This window comes from Homo sapiens, chromosome 21 (assembly GCF_000001405.40).
Source record: "Homo sapiens chromosome 21, GRCh38.p14 Primary Assembly".
In the NCBI taxonomy this organism is placed as follows: Eukaryota; Metazoa; Chordata; class Mammalia; order Primates; family Hominidae; genus Homo; species Homo sapiens.
In genome coordinates this window covers 32,786,078-32,813,703 of record NC_000021.9, presented here as the reverse complement: position 1 = coordinate 32,813,703, position 27,626 = coordinate 32,786,078, and the positions used below count along the sequence as shown (strand labels likewise).

The 27,626-nt window shown below is 42.5% G+C and overlaps 1 protein-coding gene and 1 long non-coding RNA gene across 5 annotated transcripts in view; one reads left to right on the top strand and one right to left on the bottom strand.

Moving 5' to 3' along the window:
• On the top strand, window positions 1-23,031 carry EPCIP (exosomal polycystin 1 interacting protein). 3 transcript variants are annotated; one of them, NM_001162495.3, is made up of 4 exons: window positions 1-112; window positions 3,050-3,130; window positions 5,988-6,062; window positions 19,219-23,031. In NM_001162495.3, the coding sequence occupies exon 4, from the start codon at window positions 19,283-19,285 to the stop codon at window positions 19,940-19,942; it is 660 nt and encodes a 219-aa protein (NP_001155967.2). In that variant the 5' UTR covers window positions 1-112; window positions 3,050-3,130; window positions 5,988-6,062; window positions 19,219-19,282; the 3' UTR covers window positions 19,943-23,031. The 3 variants fall into 3 exon arrangements, with proteins under 3 accessions (NP_001155967.2, NP_062542.5, NP_001155968.2); NM_019596.6 differs by lacking the exon at window positions 5,988-6,062; NM_001162496.3 differs by lacking the exons at window positions 3,050-3,130; window positions 5,988-6,062.
• The window catches only part of EPCIP-AS1 (EPCIP antisense RNA 1), a 25,608-nt gene continuing 13,978 nt past the window's right edge, over window positions 15,997-27,626 (bottom strand). For both annotated transcript variants that reach the window (NR_024622.1, NR_024623.1), the window contains exons 3-4: window positions 25,003-25,092; window positions 15,997-16,765 (exon numbers count right to left, since the gene is read on the bottom strand). This is a non-coding gene — a long non-coding RNA (EPCIP antisense RNA 1). The remainder of the gene's footprint in view (window positions 16,766-25,002; window positions 25,093-27,626) is intronic.

The following is a 27,626-nucleotide window of genomic DNA, read 5'->3' as shown; positions in this document are numbered from 1 at the left end:
ATTCCACCCTGGCTTGCAGATTAAACCAGCTGTCAAGCCAGGGTGAAGGATCCGTGGCCAGGCAGAGGTCTGTGGAGTGGAGAGGCGAGGCCTCACGGTGGAACTCTCAGATGTAAGTAATTTCTGTGTTCTTCTTTTTTAAAAAGCATGTCTAGTCTGACAGTTTTTCAGAGCTTCAGAATTTCTGCTGCATGGCAGGAACTGTGACGGTTGGAAGAACCATTGTCAGGGTCACCTTCTTGTTGCATTTGCATTTCCTGAACATAATGTACATGTATGAGTGGCTTTCACTATGAAACACTTTTTTAGGCTTCCAGGCATATGAATTCCTCTTTACTGAGATTCTGCCTTTAAAATGAAAGATTTTCAGTGCATTAAGCAAAGAATGACATGGTCTTCTCATTTAAACCCTAAAAAGATAAACTCACTTAAAGCTAATATAACAGATAGCTCCTTGAAATCTTGTCTCTATTTTAAAACATCTGGCTAGACTTTTCCATTAGTCTTCAATGCTAAATAACAATTAAGGAAAAGAGATATGATATCTCTTTTCCTTATTGTGATCACAAACAAAGAAAAGTGAGAACTCCCAAAACACCGGCTGATACTGTTTCTTTGCTCTGTTTTATCTTTTAATAATATTATATTTACTGCCTATTTACACACCAGGCTTTATAGAGTTTGCTGATTAGAAAACAAAGAAAAGAAAGTAAGCTAAGATGAGCATTAACATTTGGATTGGATAGTTCGTGTTTTTAAAAAATTGGTCTTTTATTCAAAAGTGAAAAAGCATGATAAATAATGTAGCAAAAGGCAAGATGAAGAGGGGAATGTTTTAATTCAAAATGAGTAGAACATATACAGTCTTGCATTTATTTCTTTGTTTAATAAGCATATTTTTGGAAAGCTTTTAGCAAAAAGTATGTTGGTGTATACTGAGGACAGGAAATGTTTCAAAAACATTGTGCATAATATTTATAAAAAACCCACCCTTAAAAAATACCAAAAAAAAGACTTCATTTGTTTGAAAATTTTTTACCGAAAAGAGCCATCCTTGAGAAGTTTTTTGCTTTTTTTTAGTCTAAATAATGCAATATGTTTGGAAGGAAAAAAAAAGACTTTTCATTACTTTTTTTTCTGACAGAAATTGGGCATTTTCTGAAAATAACAGTTTCAATAAAGTATTTATGGAAATGAGTGCTTTTCAAGAGCTGACTTGGATTTCTCATCTTTCTTTTCCACACTAATATTTTTCACTGCTTAAAGCTGCCACATTATCAGCTTTTAAAATTCAGTGCCCAGTGGCTTGTGTCTGTGTCTGTGGGAGCTAATAGGTCAATAGGCCCCAGTGGGAAGAACAGGCAGGCCTCACAGTTCTGTGGGCGTGGGACCAAGGGGCAGCTGTGCAAAGCTGTGGATGTGAACCCCAGTGATGCAATTAACTGAGTGTCTACCAAGTCACTCAAGGGGAAAGCCTGAAGGATTTGCACTCATTGCCTAATTCACTCTCTCAAGGACTGTGTCAAGTAGAAAAGTACGGTAGCCACATATTTTAGTTAGGACTTCCCAGTGGCTCACTCTCTGAGAATTCTTTGTCCCACATTCCATACCTATGTTAGCAGAAGCAGCACTCTGCTCATATTGTCCTCTATTCTGATTATGAACTTAAGAACAGAAATTTCTTTCTTATGGTTCTGGAGACTGGGAATTCCAAGGTCAAGGGGCCTGCATCTGGCAAGGGCATTCTTGCTGTTTCATTCCATGGTGGAAGGTGAAAGGGCAAGAGAACATGTGCACACACATAAGAGAGACAGAGAGAAAGGGGGTCAAATTCATCCTTTTATTTGAAACCTATTCCCATGGTGACCAACCCACTCCTCAATAACAGCATTAATCCATTCATGAGGGCACCGCCCTCTTAAAGGTCACCCCTTAAAGCTCCCACTTCTCAACACTGTTGCACTGGGGATTAAGTTTCCAACACGTGAACTTTAGGAAACACATTCAAATCATAGCATTTAGCATGAGGGTTCTATACACATATAGGTTAAAGGCTACAGCATCTAGTAATAGAATACAATGCATGGAATCTCACTTGAATAGGCCCAAGACCCTGGGGTAGGAAATAGCGCTGTAATTTCCACCATGACTCTTCAGAGTATAGTTGGCTGTCTGGGTTCAAATTTTAGCCATTATTAACTAGTTCTGTGACCTTGGACAAGTTATTTAACCTCCCTGAGTACCCATGTATCATTTCCTGATATGAAAATGGGACCATATGCAGTGGCTCATGCTTGTAACCCCAGCACTTTGAGAGGCTGTGGTGGGTGGATCACTTGAGGTCAGGAGTTCGAGACCAGCCTGGCCAAAATGGCGAAACCCAGTCTGTACTAAAAATACAAAAATTAGCTGGGCGTGGTGGTGCAACACCTATAATGCCAACTACTCGGGAGGTTGAGGCAGGAGAATTACTTGAATCCGGGATGCAGAGGTTGCAGTGAGCCGAGATAGTGCCACTGCACTCCAGCCTGGGTGACAGACTGAGACTCGGTCTAAAAAAAAAAGGGGAGGGGGGGCCATAATATCTACCTGTAGGATTACAGAAAGGATTAAATAACATAAAACACGTGAAACACTTAACAGTACCTGGCACAAAAGAAACACTCATTAGATCTTACTATTAGTGAATAAAAATATGGATAGTTCCTGATTTCATTCAATTTTCAGTATACAACATACATGTATCACATTTTATATATTATAGTATGTTGCCTCTTTATCAATGACAATTTGCTGTATTTAGCTAGCTTAGCCTTGGGAACACAGGGCTGAGGAACAGTGAATTACTGGTACAGTAACATTTCTCATAGGAGTCTGAACTTTCTTGGGAATCAGGAGCTGTGTATTTGGCATGTTAAGTTGGAGATGTCTACTAGACATTCAGAAAGAGCTATCAGATACAATGTGGGACATGTGAGCATGATGCAGTCAGGAGCTAGAGACGTATCTCAGTTCACCATCAGCATCTAGGTGGTATTTAACTTCACAGGACAGCATGCAGGCACCAAGAGAGTGGACGCACATACAGAAGACAGCCATGCACTGAGCTGGGGACATGCAACAATAACAGGTAAGAAGATCAGGGCCGGGCATGGTGGTTCACGCCTGTAATCCCAGCAGTTTGGGAGGCCGAGGCGGGCGGATCACGAGGTCAGGAGAGTCAGACCATCCTAGCTAACACAGTGAAACCCCGTCTGCACTAAAAAAAAAAAAAAAAAAAAATTACCGGGCATGGTGGTGGGCGCCTGTAGTCCCAGCTACTCTGGAGGCTGAGGCAGGAGAATGGCGTGAACCCGGGAGGCGGAGGTTGCAATGAGCCGAGATCACACCACTGCACTCCAGCCTGGGCGACAGAGCGAGACTCCGTCTCAAAAAAAAAAAAAAAAAAAAAAAAAAAGATCAAATGCCAGCCAAAAGACTGAGAAGGAGTGGCCATTGAAGGAGCCAGAAAACCAGGAGAATGTGACATCATGGAGGAACAGAAAACTATTCACTCAAAAAGAAGGGGGAGGCAACTAAGTCAGATGCTTGTGGGAAGTCAAACAAAATGAGACCAGGAAATTAATCACTGGATTTGGTATGGGGGTGGTGGGATTCACTGGGAACCTGATGAGAATGGTTGCAATAGAATGATTACAGCAAAAGTCTGGTTTTTTGGAGTGGCTTAAAAATCTAACACGACTAGGTACTAGGCTCTGTGTGATAACAGATTGGCTTACAAAAGCTCTTTTTTTTTTTTAATTTATCTTACAATAGACTGATGTTGCACTCTAAGAAAAGTAGGTTTGAGTCAAACAAGAACTGTCACCTATTCCCCCAGCATAATAAAATGTCATGAAAGAGGAGAGATTTGAAGACAGTATCAGAGATGAAGGTAGTTTCTTAGTGGACAAGAAACAGAAATCATCCCCAAACACAGAGGGCAACATACCCAGCATGAGGCGAATGGGGTCCAGATTGGAGAATAAGAAAACACAATGGGGGCAGGCGCGGTGGCTCATGCCTGTAATCCCCACACTTTGGGCGGTGGGAAGATCTCTTGAGGCCAGAAGTTGTAGATCAGCCTGAGCACTACAGTGAGTCTGTGTCTCTACAAAAAATTTTAAACATTAGCCAGTGGTACGCACCTATAGTCCTAGCTACTCAGGAGGCTGAGGTTGGGAGGCTTGCCTGAGCCCAGAAGTTCAAGGTGACAGTGAGCCACTGCACTCCAGCCTGGGTGACAGAGCAAGACCTTGTCTCAAAAAAGGAAAGAAAGAAAGAGAGAGAGAAAGGAAGAGAGGAAAAAGAAAGAAAGAGGAAAGAAAGAAAGAAAGAAAGAAAGAAAGAAAGAAAGAAAGAAAGAAAGAAAGAAAGAAAGAAAGGAAGGAGGGAGGGAAGAAAGAAAAGAAGAAAGAACAACAAAAGCCCAGTGAGACATCACACACACACACACACACACACACACACACACACACACACGCACCCCTCGAGGCTTGTCCCCACAACATGCCGTGATGCCTCTCCTTTCCCAGTTTTGATCCACTTCCCATAAAAGGATTACTTCGCATTTCCATCTCTGAAATGCCTGGTCTCTGGGTCATTAAAAAAAACAAAAAAAGAATCTTCTCTGTGGCCAGGAGGTCTGAAGAATTCATTTGGAGTTGTGCCTAGACACTATTTCATGGGCACTCGGTTTAGCCCAAATTGTGATGCCAGATTATCTACTGGAGCTCTGCTGCTGTCACAAAACTAATCGTCAAAGAGTCATCAATGAGATCAGGATTCACTCTTTTTAAATAAAATTCTTATTTTGCAATAGTTTCAGGTTTACAGAAAAATCGTGAAGATAATAGAGAGTTCTTATATAGAGTTAACATCTTACATGAGTATGGTATATTTGTCACAATTAATGAACCAGTATTGACACATTATTATTATAAAATAAAGTCCAAACATTATTCAGATGTCCTTAGATTTCACCCATTGTCCTTTTTTTTGTCCCAGGATCTCATCCAGGATCCCACATTACCTTTAGTCATCATTCCCAGGAAGCATTTTAAAACTCTGAAAAATCTTTCAAGAAAGAAACAAGGTTTAAATGTTCATTGGTTCCAATATTTGTAACTAAAACCAGCAAAGGAAATTTTAATTCTTATTTTTGTCCAAAATCGAATGGTCGGAACTATAGCTTGAACACAGTTGAAAGGAAAAAAGCCCAAGGCTTACATCTTAAGGAAATAGTGCAGGTACTTTACGGGAATATAAGAAGGGCACGACTGTTAAGTGGAAGATCTGAATTCTCTTTTATTGTTCTGGAAGCAGGTAATTAAAATAGTAAAGGTCTGCCAGCCTTTTTTTTTTTTTCTCTCATCTCCTAGCAAAGGGATTAGTGTCTGACTCATTTTCCTTGGCAACTTCACACTCACATAATACTAGCCCAGTAATTTAAGCAAAGCTCTCCCTGAGTTAGCTTTGCAAGATTGGACTCTGAAAGGTTAGGTTGTGGGGGAGTTTTGCAGCAAGGGCTGTTGTAATCTCTCAACCAAGAGCAATTAGGGGAATGGCTTCGTGATGCTCACAAATATCTGTGAGACCAAAATATACTAATTCTACTCATGTTTTCCTTCGCCCCTCGGAAGGTGTGTGGCATAAGATGGAAGGGCAGTGACTGGAGGCCTGACTTGGGACTCACGGTCTCCATTCTAGCCAAGTGTATTTCACGCTTCCTCCTCATCAGATTCACAGGAAAGTTGTAAGGCAATCAGGAACCTAGACTAGGCCTTTTGTAAAGTCACAGGAGGTTGGAGGTGCCTCCTGGGATTTTGCCAGATGTCATTCAATGGCTTTCAAGGATGATGCACAGCTAGGCCATAGGAGAGTAAGCTCAAATTCCCACCCTGTCACCCATACACAGAAACTCATTCTGGTTTTTCTGCCATGTCTAGGCCATACAATGAAAGTCGCTGAAGAAGAATATGAATTTTGCCTGCGGATTTGCTAACACTCGACAATCCTAGGAGGTAAAAGGCAAAAGAGGGGCTGGGTGTGGTGGCTCACGCCTGTAATCCCAGCACTTTGGGAGGCTGAGGCAGGTGGATCACCTGAGGTCGGGAGTTCGAGACCAGCCTGACCAACACGGAGGAACCCCGTCTCTACTAAAAATTAGCCGGGTGTGGTGGCACATGCCTGTAATCCCAGCTACTCGGGAGGCTGAGGCAGGAGAATCACTTGAACCCGGGAGGCGGAGGTTGTGGTGAGCCAAGATCAAGCCATTGCACTCCAGCCTGGGCAATAAGAGCAAAACTCTGTCTCAAAAAAAAAAAAAAAGGCATAAGAGGGAATCAAGGATCAATAACATGCCTCATTGGCTTAGCAAATGTAGGGACTCATTTGGATAATATAAATAGTCATGGAGTGCTCCTATGTGCCAGGCCCTGTGCTAAGGACTGGGGAAACCGCAATCAGCAAGAAGGCATCAGAAACCTGACCCCCTGATATGGTTTGGCTGTGTCCCCACTCAAATCTCACCTTGAATTGTAACTCTCATCATTCCCTCATGTTGTGGGAGGGACCCAGTGGGAGATTATTGAATCACGGGGGTGGTTTTCCCAATAACGTTCTTGTGGTAGTGAATAAGTCTTGCGAGATCTGATGGCTTTGTAAGGGGAAACCCCTTTCACTTGGCTCTCACTCTTCTCTTGTCTGCCACCATGTGAGACACGACTCACTTTCCACCATGATTGTGAGGCCTCCCAGCCATGTGGGACTGAGTTCATTAAACCTCTTTCTTTTGTAAATTACCCAGGCTTGGGTATGTCTTTATCAGCAGCATGAAAATGGACTAATAAAACCCCACAGTAAACCAACAAGGAAGCCCCGCATCCAGGCAGCAAATTAGTGGGTGAAATTAATACCCAGGTGAGCTCAGTGCTTTCCAAATAAAATATCTACTTTTCAGTCAGTTCTTACTCAGCTTCTAAGCTCCTAAGCACTTTAGTCTATTTCTATGATTCAATCAATTTAATCTCAAACAGGTAATCCAGCTGATACCTGAAGAGCTCCTGGCTTCACCAGCCAGAGGGCACAGATGAAGTTAAGTGAACACGAATAGCTTGTATTCTGTTGGCTCGTGCTCCCACCTACCAGATACAGGTCCTTGCCTCCTCCCACCACTACGTCTACAAAACAGAATTTCCTCTAGGTGCTTCTTTGAGTCCCCAGGGGTCTTGCCTATGCGCACAATGGTCCTTTCATCTGCTTCTGTCCCCAGCCCCCACTGGATGCTGACTGTCCCTTACCTTGGCCATGGGGCTCCCTGTTGCTTGATGACCAGAGAGCAAAATCCAGGGGTAGCCCCAGTCTGTTCTTGAGAAAGGGTCAAATAGTGCCATCTGTCCCTCATTCCTCACTGTGCTAGAGCTGAGCTGTACTCAGTACAGAAGTGGAGAAAATGCTTCTGTCCACCACTCAATGTCACCCTTTCTTGCCTGGGCAGGGGGCCACTTGTGCCTCACATCTCAGAATTCTTAAAAGCACTTCTTGCAGCCTCTGCTTGCTACCTGACCGGACTCAGCCTCAGGCATACGTTTGGGCTGGAAAGACACAAATGCCACTGTCCCATCCCTCTGCTCTTCCCTGCCCTGGGCCCTCCCATATCGTCTTCGCTCTCCTTCAACAATTCCATGTATGCAATTAACCACCTGAAGATGGTTCCCCCTCAACTCATAAGACGTAGCCAGATGTATCCATTTGGGCTTGGCTGGGTCCAACATAGTGTGACTATTCTATGGGAGCATTGAGCTCGGTATTTCAGGAGACTAGTTACCAATGATCCAGGCTAATGAGAGGAATAAACCACATAATGTAATTAGCAAACACTGCAGGGCTGTGAATACAGAAGGGCTGGTTTGGTCCACAAGGGTGGTTTGATGTGGTGGTTTGGTTTCCTCACCGTCTCTGTATTCATTTCCTATTGCTGCTATAAAAAATTTCTACAACTTGGCCAGGCGCAGTGGCTTACACCTGTAATCCCAGCACTTTCGGAGGCTGAGGCAGGCAGATCACTTGAGGTCAGGAGTTTGAGACCAGCCTGGCCAACATGGTGAAACCCCATCTCTACTAAAAATATAAAATTTAGCCTGGTATGGTGGTGCACACCTGTAATCCCAGCTATTCAGGAGGCTGAGGCAGGAGAATTGCTTGAACACGGGATGCAAAGATTGCAGTGAGCCAAGATCGTGCCACTGCACTCCACACTCCAGCCTGGGTGACAGAGCGAGACTCCATCTCAAAAAAAAAAAATATAATCTACAATGTTAGTGGCTTGAAACAACATATCTATATTATTTTACACTTCTGGAGGTCAGAAGTTCAAAACCAGTCTGACCAGGCTACTGTGAGGGTGTCAGTAGGCCTGGTTCCTTCTGGAGACTCCAAGGGAAAATCTGTTCCTTGCCTCTTTCAGCTCCTAGAGGCTGCTCGCATTTCTCAGCTTGTAGCCACATTGCTCCAATCTCTGCTTCAGTTGTCATATTGCCTTCTTCTTATAAGGACCCTGTTGATTACATTGGGCCCACCCAGATAATCTAGGATCATCTCCTTATCTCAAGTTTCTTAATTTAATAGCATCTGTAGAGGCCTTATGGCCATGTAAGGTAATGTATTCACAGGGCCCAGGTATTAGGACACAGGCACCTTTAGGGACCATTATTTGACCTACTATAACATCCATTAGGCACAGTTGGAGATCAGAAATAAAGTGTTTTGATCACATCCCATATTCCTGCTGTTCCTTTAAACATTTCATTCACATTTAAGTTAGTAGAAATGGGAATCAGATAATTAATTTCTATTTTCCAGACTAGCTCACTAATAATTTCAGGACCTCACAATCCTCAGAATTTACAGGAGGACGTTTGTAAATCTGATTGGATTAATTACAGGAAAAATCATGCAGAGAGACATTTTTGTTTTACGCTGTGCTTGTTCTCTGTCTAGTCAAATGTTTGATACAAGTAATGCATTAAATGAACCAGTTACTTTAGATTTCTTTGGGGTGGCTTTTGGGATGCCCTCACAGAGCATGGTAATACATTTGTTATCACTATGACTCTGATATTACAAAATATCAATGTCTATGAATAGTACTATGTATATTGTAGCATGCCTATGAGTACTTATGAGTATACAATATACATAATACTACAGAACTATTCAGGCTGGGTGTGGTGGCTCATGCCTATAATCCTAGCACCTTGGGAGGCCAAGGCAGGAGAATCACTTGAGCCTGGGAGTTTAAGACCAGCCTGGATGACATAGTGAGACCCCATCTCTAAACAAAATAAATAAATAATATAGTACTATTCATATATATATATATATATATAATCACATGCATCTACTTTGCTTTTGCAACCTGTGTGGTTGGATTATTATCCTGTGCCCTGTCAAGAGAAATAAGACTCAGACAGGTTCTCCGACTGATCCAACTATATACTAGTGAGTTCAACATGAACAGTCACAAAAATATTTTAAAGTGTGTCCTCTCAAAACCCAAATTGCATACTTGAAGCTAATTTTGCCTGCATAATTCCAACTTATGGAGACATGAATTTACTTCATCTTTTTCTAGATGAGCAAAAATATCAGATGAGAGCATATAGTTTAGATCCTACTATAGAAACCAAATGAGATTCCGATCACATCAGAATTACTGGGAACTCATTTCCTGCCCCGCACAATGAACTGTGTAAACCACAATGAAAGGGAAGTGATCTTCACCCACAGAGACTGCACAGAACGGTGACTTCAGCATTAGATCCTTGCAAGGGCCTGTGAAAATTCAGTGGCTCATACCAAGGATGAGGATGTGCTGTTGTGGAATGTGAAGAAGAAATAAAAGACACAGTATCACAGTATCACAGTATCACAGTAAGAAAACATTGGGGAGGGACCCAAATTAGTTTTCAACTTCATAAGCTTTGAAATAGTAAACAACAAAGATATCATTCCGTTTTCAAATATCTTACATAGTGTTTATCTCTAACCTATCTCCTGCAGTGCATTCGTGGAACAAAGCCAAAGAAAAGAAAAATGCTAAAAATCCCTTTTTTCAAGAGCATTTCAAGGTCCTACAGCTAAAGCCCTCACACTGCCTGTGTGGGCATCTCATCCACATAACAGAATAGCCAACACCCCTCCTTGACCTCAACGGGAAGAGGGGTTGCACAGCCCTGGACAAGTGGGCACTGGACCTGAGAACAGGTGACCACTTGTTTCTGGAGCCCAGCGTGGGTCTCCACCCCACACTCCTCCCATACTTTCTGTTTGATCCTTGCTATCTCTCTAATAAGGAACAAGGTAGCCATAAGGCTTACAGTGCAAATACCCTTGGACAAGAATGTGTCAGTTTAAATTCCGATTAAGGCCTAACCAACTGGTATCAGATACCAATCTGTGAGCGGGTTTTCAGCACTGGCTCCTGGAAAGAAAAGAATGGATGATCAGGGAGTTAAGAGGAAGGCACATCAAGGGGAACTGGGGATCGGAGAGCTACTCCACCTACTCCATAGTTTGCCATAACTAGCCCTCACTAGCAGCTAGGCTTGCTGCCAGTCTGATGAAGCCACCCAGAGGCTCCTAACTCTGAGAAAATGAGCTATGTTTTTCTCGTGGCTGTCAGGGCTCACAGTGGATGTCTCAGGGAGTGGCGTTCCCAGGCAAGCTGTGTTGGGATGCTAAGAATGAGACAACGATGAGAGGCTGAGGCAGAAGAATTGCTTGAACCTAGGAGTGGGAGGTTGCAGTGAGCCGAGATCGCGCCACTGCACTCCAGCCTGGGAGACAGAGAGAGACAAATGCTTTGCTGTGCTGCCCACTGGGCTCTCCTGCTCCCTGTACCACTGGTTCCCTCCTGGAGGTTCTAGCAGGTATCCTGACTCATGCTCATAGGAGGAAGACAGCCTCATCCTCATCCCCACCTTCTCAATCCTACATTCTTGGTTCTCTCCATCCCCTTGAGGATTCCAGATATTGAAACAAATTTATCCAAAGAGCCTGGAGTTAGAAGGAGTCAACAAATGGAGAGATGGAAATCACTGAGGAAAATACAAAAGAAAACTATTTAGAATTCACTGTCCTGACTAGTGTTTTCTCCCCAGATTCAGTCTCTCCCTGGCAACCTAGGTTACCTTCCTTAAACAAGATTTAAGTAGATGTCTCCTGCTTCAGACCTTTACCATCTCATTTTTTGTCTCTTGCAGGAGCCTCCAAAGAGGGAGCTTACCTCACAGGAGGTTTGCAAGCCAAGCTAGTGGGGTAGAGCTGAAAATATTCAAACTTTCATTTTTATTTATTTTTCATCTTAAATTTTTAAAAATGCTACAGTTTGTGTATTGTTGATAATACAGATGATATGTAAGCATGGTAATATGTGAATGGCCTTTATAAATTAACAGATACATCTATTGGGGAGGGTTTTAAAATCATTTATTGATGGGGTGATGATCAGAAGAGTTTGGAGACCAAGTAACTGCCAGCATAAAGTCCAAACCCCTTAGCTTGACCAGCAAGGTCCTGTCTAACCCTGTCTTCCTGCCTACATCCCCAGCCTCATGGACCTCCAGATGTCTTATACCTGCTCTAAACATACTAAGGACTTTAGTCATTCTGACATCTGCGCCAATGACTCTTATATCTGCACTGCCTCGCCCTTCCTAACCCGAACCTCTTCTCTGCCTGGCCCAAAGAGCACATCCTTTGAGAGTCTTTCCGTTTCTCCCTTACCACCACTCCATCTGCATCTTTTTTTTTTCTCTTTTGAGATGAGTTTCACTCTTATTGCCCAGGCTGGAGTGCAATGGCGCAATCTCGGCTCACTGCAACCTCCGCCTCCCAGGTTCAAGTGATTCTGCTGCCTCAGCTTCCTGAGTAGCTGGGATTACAGGTGCCCACCACCACGCCCAGCTAATTTTTTTGTATTTTCAGTAGAGACAGGGTTTCACCATGTTGGCTAGGCTGGTCTCAAACTCCTGACCTCAGATGATCTGCCCACCTTGGCTTCCCAAAGTGCTGGAATTACAGGCGTCAGCCACTGTGCCTGGCCTCCATCTGCATCTTTAAGAACTACCAATCACATTGTCTTATAATTAGTTGCCCAGTTGTTTGTTCCCAGAGTACATTCCAAGTTCTCTGGGCACACTTCAAGTCCCTTGAGGGCATGGATGATATCTTCTTCATTTTTGCTTCCCCATGACTTAGGCCATTTGCCTGGCATCCAATAAATGTCCTCTAAATGTTGATTTCTCATTTTCTTTTGAGAAAAGAGGATGTAAAAATCCTAAGTTGCAAAGCAATATTAGCACCTGCTGTATTGTACCCAGCTAGCAGGGTAGGCTAGCTGCTTTGACAAACTTCAAGATATCAGTGGCTTAGAGTAATTGAGATCTGTTCCTCCCTTACATCACAGACTAATGCCATTAAGGGGGAAGAGGGGTGTGCTCTCTTTCATACAATCATTCAGGGATTCAGCCTTTTGTCTACAGTTCTGCCATCTTCTAGGGCCGTCGGTTCCTTCGTGGAATCTTCCACCATATTCCATTGGCCAGAACTCAATCACATGGTACCACTTCACTACCAGAAGCTCAGAAATGAAGTCCAACAGTGTGCTAAAGAAGGAGAGGAGAACATGGCATTCACAGGGACTAGAAGTCTCTGATATACCTAGGTTGTAAGACGCAATAAGTAGCTTGATGCAACCATGACAAATACTCAGGGGATGTCTACACATCCAAATTTTTCAGTCAAGATGCTAAAAACTGTGCATGTTTTTTTTTTTTTTGGTTTTTTTTTTGTTTTTTTGAGACAGAGTCTCACTCTGGAGTGCAATGGCGCGATCTCAGCTCACTGCAACCTCTGCCTCCTGGGTTCAAGCGATTCTCCTGCCTCAGCCTCCTGAGTAGCTGGGATTACAGGCACATGCCACCATGGCCAGCTAATTTTTGTATTTTTAGTAGAGACAGGGTTTCACCGCATTGGTCAGGCTGGTCTCGAACTCCTGACCTCGTGATCTACCTGCCTTGGCCTCCCAGAGTGCTGGGATTACAGGCGTGAGCCACCACACCCGGCCTATGTGCTTACTTATTAAATATTTGAGCCTTTGTGCATGATTATTAAATATTTGAGCCTTTAAATCACTGGACATGTTTAAAAACCAGAGCTACTATTCAGAATCAGTTTGAGTATTATTTTTGTATTGCAGCTGAAGAAATCTCAAGAACAATACTAGCAACTAGCTGCATAAAGACAGAGGGTTCTAAATTGAGGAGATACAGACATCAGTTACTTCAAAACAAATTCCACACAGATTCCTTCTCAATCTAGGATTACACCCAACATTTAGATAATGTTTATACTTGGCTTCAAAAGGAATGTTTCAAACTTGACTAGTTCTGTTTATAAGAAGATATTACTAGTAAGGAGATATTGTGTCAGTGGGAGGACAGCATTTGGAGCATTTGCCCAAAACAGATTTGAAATGTCATAAATAATGATGTTCTGAGCTCTATAGTCCTAACACAAAAGACAAATAACTAATTGTGGAAAAATCAAGTGACATTCTCCAAATCCTTATAGCAATTAAAAATCAAAAGCAATTTAAAAACGTAATTTGGAAGTGAGCTTAATTTGAAATCAAAAGTGGTTTTTATTTTATTATTTGAGATAGAGTCTCACTCACTCTGTCACCCAGGCTGGAGTGCAGTGGTGCGATCTCGGCTCACGGCAACCTCTGCCTCCCGGGTTCAAGGAATTCTCGTGCCTCAGCCTCCTGAGTAGCTGGCATTATAGGTGTGCACCACCACACCTGGCTAATTTTTGTATTTTTAGTAGAGACAGGGTTTCCCCATGTTGGCCAGGCCGGTCTTGAACTCCTGACCTCAAATGATCTGCCCCCCTCAGCCTACCAAACTGCTGGGATTACAGGTGTGAACCACCATGCCTGGCTGTGATTTTTATTTTTAAAGTGGAAATGCAATTAGGGGAAAGACTCAAGAGAAGAAAATTGTGAAAGGCTCAAGAGTCAGAAGCTGAGAAGATGCCCTGGCAAGAAGCAGTCTCAAGTATAGATCTGAGTTATGGCTCTGGGGTTAAAGCCAGAAGAAAGCTAGGGCCCGGGCACCCCAAGGAACACACTGTGAAGCCAGGACTTGGAGAGGTAAGCAGGGCTATTGCTCACAAATGCAGTACCCAAAGTGTGTCCCTGCAAAAATCCTTGAAGATTCTTGGGTGGTAAAATCGAGGGGCCCTCCAGTAAAGGAGCCAATTTGAAAATCTGAATATATCCCACAAAGTCAGACATATATCTGCACTCTTAGAGGGCATTTTATCAAAGTGGTGCTTTAGTGTTTGCTGAGACTGAGAGGAGTAGAGTTGCAATGCTCACCCATGCTCATCCCATGGGTCTTGTGGGCACCCACCTTTCTGACTGCCTACCTGGCCCTTTTCTGATAGCGCCTCCTGATTTCCCTTTGCAGAACCATCCTTCTACCCTCTCAGTCCACTCTTTGCAGTGGGGCTGATCCCATTCATTGGCTCCCAAGCTGAGTGTACGACTCAGGAGTCCAATGTATTTTTGCCTCCTAATATTTATTTATTTACTTATTTGGTTATTTATTTCATTATTATTATTATTTTATTTTTTGGTTGCAAAGTCTCACTCTGTCACTCAGGCTGGAGTGCAGTGGCACAATTTCAGCTCACTGAAACCTCTGCCTCCCAGGTTCAAGTGATTCTCCTGCCTCAGCCTCCCTGTAGCTGGGATTAAAGGCACATGCCACCCTGCCTGGCTAATTTTTGTATTTTTGGTAGAGACAGGGTTTCGCCTTGTTGGCCAGAATGATCTCGAACTCCTGAGCTGAAGCGATCTGCCTGTCTTGGTCTTCCAAATGCTGGGATTACAGGCCTGAGCCATTGTGCCCAGCCATATTTATTTATTCATTAGAGATGGGGTCTCGTTCTGTCATCTAGGCTGGAGTGCAGTGATACAATCATAGCTCACTGCAGCCTCAAATGGCCTAAGAGTTCAAAGCCCAGTGAAATCACAGCTCACGAGGGGTACTTGAGAGAAACTAGGGGAGGAAGTTTTAAGACACAGTCTCCAGCAGAATAGGCTGTCATGAACCCGTGGAGTAAGAATTGGGGTTAGGTCATGAGGAGAACAGGTGCCTTTGCATATCATCCCTCCCTCTGTCAGTCACCCTAGGCAAGAAGCCATCCAGAGAGACTCCGAGGCCAGGGACTGAGTGTGCTCACACACCTTGCCCTGAACCTGCACTTGTGTCCCTATTTCTGCCTGTGCAGCCATAGCAGATACCACAACAGGGTGGCTTAAACAACACCGAATTCTCAGACTCAAGTGATCCTTCTGCTTCAGCCTCCCGAGTAGCTGGGACTATAGGTGCACACCATCATGTCCAACTAATTTATTTTATTTGTAGAGATTATGTCTCACAATGTTGGCTGGGCTGGTCTTGAACTCCTGGCTTCCCACAATCCTCCTACCTCAGCCTCCCAAAGTGCTGGGGTTACAGGTATGAGCCACCACACCCAGCAGCCTGGTGCTATTTAAAGAGAGGTTTATTTATTTATTTATTTTTTCTTGAGAGGTTGCTCAGCTGATAGAAAGTAAACCTGGATCTACTAGTGACCATCTTGTCCCCAGAAGGAGTGATCTTATCTGGGAACAAAGCCCACAAATGAGAAAGAATAAATGAAGAACGGACAGACATTTCTGACAACCTTTTTTGAGTAGCTGGATCAAGCCATGCCTGAAATCCTTCCTTAATTTTTCAAATAAGTGAGCAGTTTATTTTGTTTATTTTTTTATTTTTTTTTACCCAAGTGAGTCTTAATTGGATTTCTATAGCTAGCAGTTAAAAGAGTTTGAGTACACTGACATTTGGTAAACTATGTTTTTTCATTCATTCAATGAAATTTGTTGAGTCCTTGCTATGTGCTAGGCACTGTGCGGGAAATTGAGAATATAAAGCCCAAAAACTGCTCTCTTAAGGTCTTTACCCCAGTGAAAGAGAACCTTGAACTAATAATCACGGTACAGCCGAGTGCAGTGGCTCATGCCTGTAATCCCAGCACTTTTGGAGGCCAAGATGGGTGGATCACCCTAAGGTCAGGAGTTCAAGACCAGCCTGGCCAACATGGCAAAACCCCATTTCTACTATAAATACAAAAATTAGTCGGGTATGATGGTGCGTGCTTATAATCTCAGCTACTCAGGAGGCTGAGACAAGACAATCGTTGGAACCTGGGAGGCAGAGCTTGCAGTGAGCTGAGATTGCACCACTGAACTGCAGCCCGGGCGACTTCATCTCAAAAGAGAAAAAAGAAATTCATGATAGACTGAAGGAGGAAAATTTCCAACTAGCATTTCTGTGGCAGCCTCCATAAATGGGTTACCAGGGGTATTTGCCCCACTTGGTGCCCTCTTAGTGAGCCTTCCCCCACTAGGCATGTGTTTTTGTTCTGGCCTTTGGGCTTCCTAATGTCCAGGAGGCAGGGACCATCCTGAGGTCTAGCCAGGGCCTTACTGTCGGGAAGTTGCTCACAAATTCTTCTGGGAACTTCTTGTCCCACATGTTCCGCAAACCAATATCCTTTTCTCTTCTGATCTCTTTTCCTCTTCCACGGCTGCCTCTAAAAGGATCAGCACCTGAAACAGGGAGGCAGACACTTTTCTCACTAGGTTCGGGCTGATGAATAGACCTCTCCCCTCTTTTTTCTTTTAAGGCTAGGGTCAGGGTGGGCCAACAGTATTGACAGCATTCCTGGTTCTGGGATAACAGGGTTACTGGGACACGAAGTCCCAGAGGCCTCCAGTGGAATCTGGGACAGCTGATTGTCTAAAATTATCTTGTAATTAATAAATTATACACCGTTCCTCACTAAGGGGGTAGACACACCCACATTCTAACACTGCTTAAGACTGTTAAGCCTCTTGTTCAGGGAGAACGCTTGTTCTCCACGTTTCTCAAAGCTCTTTCTTTCATGACAAAATGTACCTATTAATACATTTAATAAGAAGCCTTTAAGAAAATCCTGTGCCAACTTCAAAATAGATACAAAGCACTCTAAACCGCCTTATCCAGTCCCCCGCGTCGAATCTCTCTCTCTCTCTGCTATGTTCTCATAGCCGCCTGTATGTTCAGTACAGTGCTTCTCAGTTCAGCCTTATTGGTCTTTTTCCTTTGAGGATAAATCCTGGAGGATAGGATCCAGGTCTTTTGTATCTTTGTTTCTTCTGCTTGGCCTAAGCCAGGGCCTGGCACACAGCCCAGGCTGGGCCCTGCCTAACTCCTGCATTTGCCCCCTCCTCTCGCCTCCTCCCCACTGCTATAGCCTCTCCATCCTCACATGCAGGACGGGCCTGGCTTTGGGCTATGACGCCCCAGCCCATTGGAAGCAGAATCAATTTCGTTAGGACATAAGTTCTATGAGGACTGGGCCCTGGGTTGTCTTGTTCTGAGTTGTACCCCCATGGCTAGCAGAGGGCATGCCACCTAGTAATCTTCCAATAAGCATTAGTTGAAGGAAGGAAGGAAGGAAGGAAGGAAGGAGGGAAGGAAGGAGGGAAGGAGGGAAGGAAAGAGGGAAGGAGGGAAGGAGGGAAGGAAGGAAAGAAGGAAGGAAGAAATGAAGAAATGAAGGAAGGAAGGAAGGGAGGGATGAATGCATGAATACAGTCACAGTTGCTGTGAATCAATGTCTCACCCTCTGTTCAAGTTTACGCGGCAGAGCTTACTTCTATCCTCCTGGCATCCCAGCCATGGGGTTGTGGCTTGTGCCTCCTGCCTGTCTACCCGATCCCTGGCATTTTTAGCCTTGATTCCTTTGGATTTCTAATTGCCTTGTGGCCTCATCTTACACCCTAATTGCTGCTTGTCTGCCTAGCCTCTTTCCTGCTGTCACTGTACTCTTTGGACACATGTTGAGCTCTTCAGACTGACCCTTCCATCTGTGGCTCCCTGGCCCTTAGTGTAGTGGCCCTGCCAGTAGCTCTGGGCCCTCCCACTCAGAGGTCGCATGCCAAGTATCCCACCACACCCATGGAGCTTAGCAAATGGAGAAGACTGAATTGTATTGTTTGGTTTCTCTCCTCAGTCATTGGGGGAATGTTATTACTTTCGCCAAACTGAAATGTGGTACACTCTGCCATAATGCTCATCTCATCTCATTCCAATCACACCACAAAGGAGGATCCTGCATCTGTCATATGCCAGACACTGTAGGGCTTTTACCCAAAACTGGACATTGGTGCTGCTCTTTAAATTACCCATGCATCCCTACCTTATTTAGATTTTTTAGAAGTTCTTATATATGGTTTTGTTTTGGAGCCCTGCAATACATTGACAAGATCAGTTCATAAATTTCTTCTGGCATAAGAGTAGCTAAGTCAAAATAATTGTGATTAATCGGTGGGTGATTAGTCTTTTTGTTGTCTATTACCACAGTTACCTAGGTACATTTGTAAGAGGCCCTGAACAGGATGAATGGACTCACAAACAGATTAATATGGTGGGGATGGGAGGCATGTTTATCTACTTAGAAATTAAAGCTTGCCATTAACTAAATGCTTCATTGGTATTCATGCTATGTTGTGTAATAGGTAGCGCTTGGATAGCTGAATCCAACAAAGAAGTGTTTGTCTCCCGAATTCCAGGAAGTCAGATATTGAGGGGGAGGAAAGCATGTCATGTTCAGGGGTTTTTGGGCGCTTCATGCTAGTAATTGGATGTTTGGAGAATGTGCTCTTTCAACTCCAAATCCCTGCCCATAGATAGGATGCGGTAGGTCTCCTCTCTGGCATCCGCTCTGGCATCGCTCTGGCTGTGTTGTTGGCATGTTGGTCTCACTGTCAGCCAACATCACTGGGAGTTTTACACCTCAGATGAGCAGAGCTCAAAGGTTTGGCTGCTGTCTCTGGATGAGGTGCTGAGAAAAGAGCTTGCCCAGTGCCTGGGCTGCAAGCATTGCCTGTGGCTCAGGAAACAGTTACTAGAACTGCAAGAAAGAAATGTTTACAACTTGTTTTTTTCTGGGGTTCCTTTTCCATAAGCTGTGTATTTCAAATGAAAGGTTGTGATAAAGCTGCCTCTTTTCTTTCAGGTGAGTTCCAACAAATTGGTTCAAAAAGAGGGGGGATAAACACGCTGGCCCATGCTGGGCAAGCATGGCACCACCTTCCAGGCACTGTCTTCTTCTGATCAGCACTCTGGGTGTCTTTGCACTTAACTGCTTCACCAAAGGTCAGAAGAACAGCACGCTCATCTTCACAAGGGAAAACACCATTCGGAACTGCAGCTGTTCTGCGGACATCCGGGATTGTGACTACAGTTTGGCCAACCTGATGTGCAACTGTAAAACCGTCCTGCCCCTTGCAGTAGAGCGAACCAGCTACAATGGCCATCTGACCATCTGGTTCACGGACACATCTGCGCTGGGCCACCTGCTGAACTTCACGCTGGTCCAAGACCTGAAGCTTTCCCTGTGCAGCACCAACACTCTCCCCACTGAATACCTGGCTATTTGTGGTCTGAAGAGGCTGCGCATCAACATGGAGGCCAAGCATCCCTTCCCAGAGCAGAGCTTACTCATCCATAGCGGTGGGGACAGTGACTCCAGAGAGAAGCCCATGTGGTTACACAAAGGCTGGCAGCCATGTATGTATATCTCATTCTTAGATATGGCTCTTTTCAACAGGGACTCAGCCTTAAAATCATATAGTATTGAAAACGTTACCAGCATTGCCAACAACTTTCCTGACTTTTCTTACTTTAGAACCTTCCCAATGCCAAGCAACAAAAGCTATGTTGTCACATTTATTTACTAGCATAATAACTGTGTCCAGCTGCCTGGAACTTTGGCAAATGATGAATAATTTGCAGAAGGAATCTGGAAATAAGGCCGTGAGATAGGTATCCCTACCCACAACTGTGCCTCTCTCCGCAGGCTCCATTTGCAACACAGCCACACATACCAATAACCAGCTCTCTGTTCTGCTCTGTGCCCAACTGCGAGAACACTTTTGAAAAACAAAAGAAAAAGAAACCAAAAAACCAACTTGATTCCGTCCAGGGACATGTCTTGGGAGCCAGCTAGGCTTGGTCTCTGCAACTAGAAGCCTGCAGGGAAATGTCCCGTCAGAAATGGAGAAAGCAATACACCCTAGAGACTGCTTAGTGGAGCTCCTCCTAGAAGGTGACCCCCAAGAAACATATCTTCTTTCAAAATACTGCCTTAATTTTTTTCTGTTTCATTTTGTGAAATTGCTTGGAATTCCCCTAAGTAGAGAATAATCAATTTCAGAGGTTTGGGGACTATGAGTTTTATAAAATGGTCGGGCACAGTGGCTCACACCTGTAATCCCAGCACTTTGGGAGGCCGAGGCGGGCGGATCACCTGAGGTCGGGAGTTCAAGACCAGCCTGACCAACATGGAGAAACCCCATCTCTACTAAAAATACAAAATTAGCCGGGCATGGTGGCACATGCCTGTAATCCCAGCTACTCGGAGGCTGAGCAGGAGAATCGCTTGAACCTGGGAGGCGGAGGTTGCAGTGAGCCAAAATCGTGCCACTGCACTCTACACTCCAGCCTGGGTGACAGAGTCAGAGATCACACCATTGCACTCCAGCCTGGGCAACAAGAGCGAAACTCCATCTCAAAAAAAAAAAAAATAATAATAATAAAATGATTAGGTTCTCTTAAACTGATCTTTTCTAAATACCTTGCTAAGAATAGATGCACCAAGAAATAAGAGGTTGGAGACTGTGTTTGTTGGGGTGGAGGTACCACAGGCATGGATAGGGTAAGACCTTAGGATCAAATGGGGGGACCAGTGTTCCAGAGAGAGGGATGCAGCAGTGAAAATTGGAGGACACAAAACACATTTGCATCTATCTCAAAATTTTGCTTAGAGCACAGCCTAACTGCAAGGAAAGTTCTTCACTTCTAGCCTTTCACATTCTTTTCCTTTTCTTTCTTTGCATGGTCTGTCTTTGCCCCTGCTATACCATTTCACCAATTTCTCTTCTCATTTTCATCTTCTTTCTCCTACTCCTTTTCCTCTTGCTCCAAAAATCAGAACTTAGATGAATACCATTCAAGCTATGTTTAACTACATTAGGGGCTAGCCTGGGAATTTACTCACCACTTACAACATTATTTCTATTGTTAAAAGTGCTCAAATTATTAACAGATAATTAACAAAAAAACATCTAAGGCTCAATCCATTTGGAAGGTTAAGATTGCAAAGTGAAGGCATTTTATATGACACGGTTAACACAAAATGATTTTATGTGTGCTGATAAAAGGAACCAAAGCAACATACTTTTGAAAAAATTAAATGGATTCATTATTGTACAAAGAAAATTTTCCCTCATAGAGACGCAACTTGCCATTAAAGTGGACTGTAAAGAATCCATGGCTTGGGAGGCCGAGGCAGGCGGATCACCTGAGGTCGGGAGTTCGAGACCAGCCTGACCAACATGGAGAAACCCTGTCTCTACTAAAAATACAAAATAAGCCAGGCGTGGTGGTGCATGCCTGTAATCCCAGCTACTCAGGAGGCTGAGGCAGGAGAGTCACTTGAACCTGGGAGGCGGAGGTTGCAGTGAGCCAAGATTGCGCCACTGCACTCCAGCCTGGGCAACAAGAGCAAAACTCCATCTCAAAAAAAAAAAAAGAAAAGAAAAAAGAATCCACTGCAATTGTGATACAAATGTCTAAACCTGGAGTGGAATGAATTTGAAACATTATTGCATTCATGATACCATAATGATAAGAAATAGTCCATGACTTAACAGGATATCCTGGGGTTGATGACTTTAGATCACATACATCACTTTTTTTTTTTTTTCACTTAACCTTAACATAGAGTAACTGAAATAATCTGCAATTTCTACATTTGCTTAATTGGTGGGGGATTTAGCCATTCAGGCTAATTAGCATGAGCCCATGTCAGTGTTTAAATTAGGCCAAAACAAAGACCAAAGTATGAATTTTAATAGAAAAATGTGACCTCATTACTGACATTGTACTGCAGATAATGTTAAAGTGAAAGAAAAAATAAGGAAAAGGGGAAAAAGGAGGAAAAAGGAAAGCAAGAAAAGACAAGTGAAAAGATTAGTAATATATTCATTGTCATTAGTTACTGAAAATATAACAAATTGAATTTTAATAATTTTTATTAATAAAGTATAAAATTAAATGATGATAGAAAGTATATGCCTCCTATAAATATCTTCCATTTGGTAGCTTTTAATAGTTTCAAAGCCCTTTCACATATGTTTTAAGTAAGTCTTTTGAGAAATACTTGTGAGTTAATGGGACTTAAACCAACAGAAAAGGAAAGCTAATTTAGTTATAAATCAAGCCTGAGGTTTCAGATTTCTGGACTAAAAATATGGTTCAGTTTGTGCTGCTGTGGGATGAAGAATGGGCAGAGAAAATCCACAGTGCAGGCATGGGGATTAATGGCATTTGGCACTTAGCTGCAGGGTTTGGGGGACAACAGGGAGTGGTGGGATGGTGGTTAAGTAAGGGTGCATGCCCCACCTGAAGCTCTACAGTGGCTCAGCTCCAACTGAGTGTTGCCATGGGAAAATCTGATGGGGCCAGATCTGATCCTTCAGAGAATGAGGAATTCCAGGTTGTTATGTGAATTCTCACAATTTGTAAATGTCGGCTTGCCATTCAGCTTTTTTGTTTGTTTGTTTTAAATAATATCATGTGGGTCAAACAAACTATGTTAATGGTAGCCATCTGGCCTGGGGCTAGTAGCTTATTGCCTCTGGCCAGTGGTGTGCTAACAAAAGTTTAACCAGCAGCTCTCCAACAAAAAAGGGAGGTGGGCTGCTCTGCCTATGCAGTAGCCATGCTTTTATTCCTTTACTTTGTTAATAAACTTGCTTTCACTTTACTCTACGGACTCGCCTTGAATTCTTTCTTATGTGAGATCCAAGAACCCTCTTTGGGGTCTGGTTTAGGACCCCTTTCTGGTAACATCTTTATGGCAACCACAAAGGGATGATACTAAGGAGACCCCTGACCCAAAGGAAATAGACCAACACTGATTGGCTGACTTTGGAGTCAAGGAAACCTTTCTTTTGAGCTATTGACAGCTTTCAACAATTGCATAAATTACGCTCCTGTGAACAAAATTTGAAGCATGCTTGTTTCTCTCTATCTAATTTCTCCAAAATCTGGAAACTAGTTATATCACTTTTAGTCAGAGTTATGAATGGCCCTCACCATACGGACTTTCTCTGACTGAACTCCTCTCTACCCTGGATCTGAGACCCTAATAGATAGGCAGGAATATCATCACCTCATTCAGCCTCCAGAAGTTACAAAAGATGGACCTTCATCTCTCTATGACCCTTAGGATTAAGGGTTCTCTTATAAAAGGGAGCGGGGAAATGTCAGAGGCGTTTAAACCAGAGCGACTCCATCTTGTTTAGAGGCTGGGTAAAATAAGGCTGAGGCCTGCTGGCCTGCATTCCCAGCAGGTTAGGCATTCTTAGTTACAGGATAAGATAGGAGGTCAGCACAAAATGCAGGACATAAAGACCTTGCTGATAAAACAGGTTGCAGTAAAGAAGCCATAACCCACCCAAAGCAAGATAGAGATGAAAGTGAACTCTGGTCGTCCTCACTGCTACACTCCAACCAGCGCCATGACAGTTTACAAATGCCATGGCAACATGGTCTAGAAAGGGGAGGAATCCTCAGCTCTGGGAATTGCCCACCCCCTACCCATTTCCGGAAAACTCATGAATAACCCATCCCTTGTTTAGCATATAACCAAGAAATAACCATAAAAATGGGCAACCAGCAGCCCTCAGGGCTGCCCTGCCTATGGAGTAGCCATTCTTTTATTCCTTTACTTTCTTAATAAACTTGCTTTCACTTTAGTCTTCAAAAAAGTACGCAGATATGTATGTACATAGTTTATTTCAATTTTACGGATGTAAAGAATGTGTAGCACACAATTTACAAATGATAATAAACTATAGATTACTCTTTATTATATACTCTTTGTACATCATTAGTTCTCAAAGAATGCTTTGATTTTTGCCAAACTCTTGTACACAAAGCCAACCTAGGGTTGCAACTGATGAGCATGTATAGTTTTGGTATAAATATTGGTTGAGATTTTCATTTATGTTAGAAGTAAGAGGAAAGTTAAACAACAAAGATATATGTGAGAATGTCACTTGCTAGTCAGTGATGAAAGCAACTTCTTTGCTGAATCAAATAATAGTTTTCAAATACTGGAGGAATATTTTCTCATGTATGGGGACTATTCACAATGTAAGGGCTATGGACATGACACACTTTTAAGTTTAATCTGCATCGTTAACATTTTCTCCATCACACTCAACAAAATCATAAATCACACTCTGATATGTAGTGGTGTAAATACTGCCACCATAACCCAATTTCATGCTACCAAGAGAACATGGAGTTGAGAAAAGACATACAATAGGGCAGCATTATATAGTATTTCCACCCTACCTATACAACAGGCACAACTAACCCCAAAAGCATGAATAATAGTAAAGTGAAGTAAAATAATTAGGAAGTGATAAGTTCTGAGTATTTATTATTTTTGGTTTTGATATAATTTATTTAATTGTAAGTTTACATAATTTGCTTTCAATAATGACTGTGCTTAACAACCAGCTTGCAAATTCCTGAAAACTTACCAATCAGCTCTTATGAGCCAGTACAAGTCCATGCCAATACCCCACTGACTGGAAGAAAGAAATGCTGACGGAACTAAGTAAAGACAATGAGTTTAGAATGTGAAGGATGGCTTGCAGTATTGAAATCCCCAATTTCTCACTTTCCAGAACCAGGGGTGGAAATTTTAGGGGTTTGCACCCACCTTCCATGCAGTAGCCCATTCTTCAACATTGAGAGTCATGATTCTGAAAGCACCAAAGGTGGTAGATGATGAGGTTGTGGAATTTAAGGCCTTGTGAGAAAAATGAGTTAGGGGTTAAAACTCTTGAATGAACCTATGAAAGTCCCTCAAAAGAAAGGAAGGAACAAAGGAATGAAGAAAAGATATAGATAACATTTTATACACATTAAATTAGTAAAAACAGGAATTGGAACCTCCATTTCCATTTCCCAGACTTGCTCACGAATAACTTCAGGGCCTCTGTTTCTCCAGAATTTACAGAACACTTGTAAATTGGATGTGATTTGTTACAAGAATAATGATGTACGGAGGCTTTTTCATTTAACAGAGTCTGATATGGTTTGGCTGTGCCACACCCAAATCTCATCTTGAATTGTAGCTCCCACAATTCCCACAGGTTGTGGGAGGTACCTGGTGAGAGGTAATTGAATCATGGGAGTGGGTCTTTCCCATGCTGTTCTCATGATAGTGAGTTCTTATAAGATCTGATGGTTTTATTAAGGGGAGTTCCCCTGCACACACACTCTTGCCTGCCACCATATAAGACGTGACTTTGCTCCTCATTCACCTTCAGCCATGATTGTGATGCCTCCTCAGCCATGTGGAACTGTGAGTCAATTAAACCTCTTTCCTTTATACATTACCCAGTCTCATGTGTGTCTTTATTAGCAGTGTGAGAACAAACTAATACAGAGTCACAACTCAAAATGTTGCACAAGGTCATGTTTATCCTACCCAGACTCTAGGAAAGCAATGAGGGAGAGCTGGCTCTACAGAGAGTACATTTCTCCTAAAGACAATTGTAAGACAATATAAATGGCACCATAGATAGACAAATACAGCAGGAAGGATGCCTCAAAGACAGATCCTAAACTAAAAAAAAAAAAAAAAGTACTTGCTAATAGTAAAATCATTAAAAAAAATGGAAAGGGAAATTAAGTCAATTGAGGGTGTTAGAAGCACACACACACAAAACAACAACAAAAAATAAAAAACAGACTAGGACGCACACTAAAAACAGTATCATATGTGGTGATGGTATGGGGGCAATTCTTATTTTCTACCTATCTGGGAGAAATATTTATTTACTGGGAGATATATTTATTTTTTGAATAAACATATAATCAAGACTTGAAAGAGCAGGGAGTAGATGATGAGAAATTACTTAATGGACACAAGGTACATTATTCCAGTGATGGACACACGAAAAACCCTGACTTCACCATTATGTAATATATCCATGTAACAAAATTGCACTTATGCCCCATAAGTTTATACAAATAAAATTTAAAACACACAAAATCACTTTCATAATAGAGAAAACCCAATAAGAGCATTTCTACATACATATTTTATTTTTATTTTTTTGAGACAAGGTCTCACTCTGTCACCCAGGCTAGAGTGCAGTGCCGTAATCTTGGCTCACTGCAACCTCTGCCTCCTGGGCTCAAGCGGTCCTTCCACCTAGGCCTCTTGAGTAGTTGGGACTACAGGTGCACACCACCACGTCTGGCTAATTTTGCAATTTTGGAGAGACTGAGTCTTGCCATGTTGCCCAGGTTGGTTTTAAACTCCTGGACTCAAGCGATCCACCCGCCCCAGCCTCCCGCAGTGCTGAGATTACAAAGTGCATGAACTACCATGCCCAGCCCATTTTTACATAAATAAACAAATGATGCTGGAACAAGTGCTTACTGCTTAAAGTTACAGTCTTACCCCAAGACAAATCTCATAATGTTAAATTAGATAGTATTAAAGTAGAAAACAAAGAGACTAACAATCTAATAGAAAAACGATGAAATAAGCATGCAATTCACTTTAAGATGAAAACAAGTAGCCAATAACTGAACAACAAAAAAATTACCTCTACCCAGAGAAATGCAACAGGAAACTAATATTTCATCCACTAGATTGGCAAAAAGTAAAGTTATTTGATATTCCATTTTGTCATGCCTGTAGGCAAATAGTCTCTATTTAAGAGAATAAACTGGTACAGTCACTTTGAAGTACAATTTAGGAATGTGTCTTAAAATTTACACAAGCTAGAAAACAACATTTATATTTTTGTATATCTACATAGAGAAGCACCCCACACACACACATACACATATGCCAGTTAGTAAAAATTCATTTAGCTCTTCATGTACAATAAATGCACTTTTCTGTATGCATTCTATACTTCAATAAGAATTTTTTAAAAAGAAAAGAATGAATAATATGACTAACACTCATGTAATTATCATCCAGAATTGACAAATATGAACATTTTGCCACATTTAAGATTTTTTATGAAAGAAATAAAACACTGTTAGTTTTTAAAAATGCAAAGAAATTATAAACTTTAGTAGGCTTGTTGGTGGTGATAATATTGGTACAACAATTCTAAAACCACTTTGTAGGATTGTGCAAAAGAGTAAATACACTCAAATTTTTGGAGGTCCATCCAGAGTTGTAATGGTAGGAAATATGAAGTGAGGGAAGGAGCAGAAGCCTGGGATGTTGGATTGGAATTAAAGGTATCAGTGCAAACTCATCACTTTTTTTTTCTTTTTTTTTGAGACAGGGTGTTGCTCTGTCACCCAGCA

What these genes read in the sequence shown, in the direction of transcription:
- EPCIP (NM_001162496.3), top strand. Translation starts at nt 19,283, where the DNA reads ATGGCACCACCTTCCAGGCACTGTCTTCTTCTGATCAGCACTCTGGGT.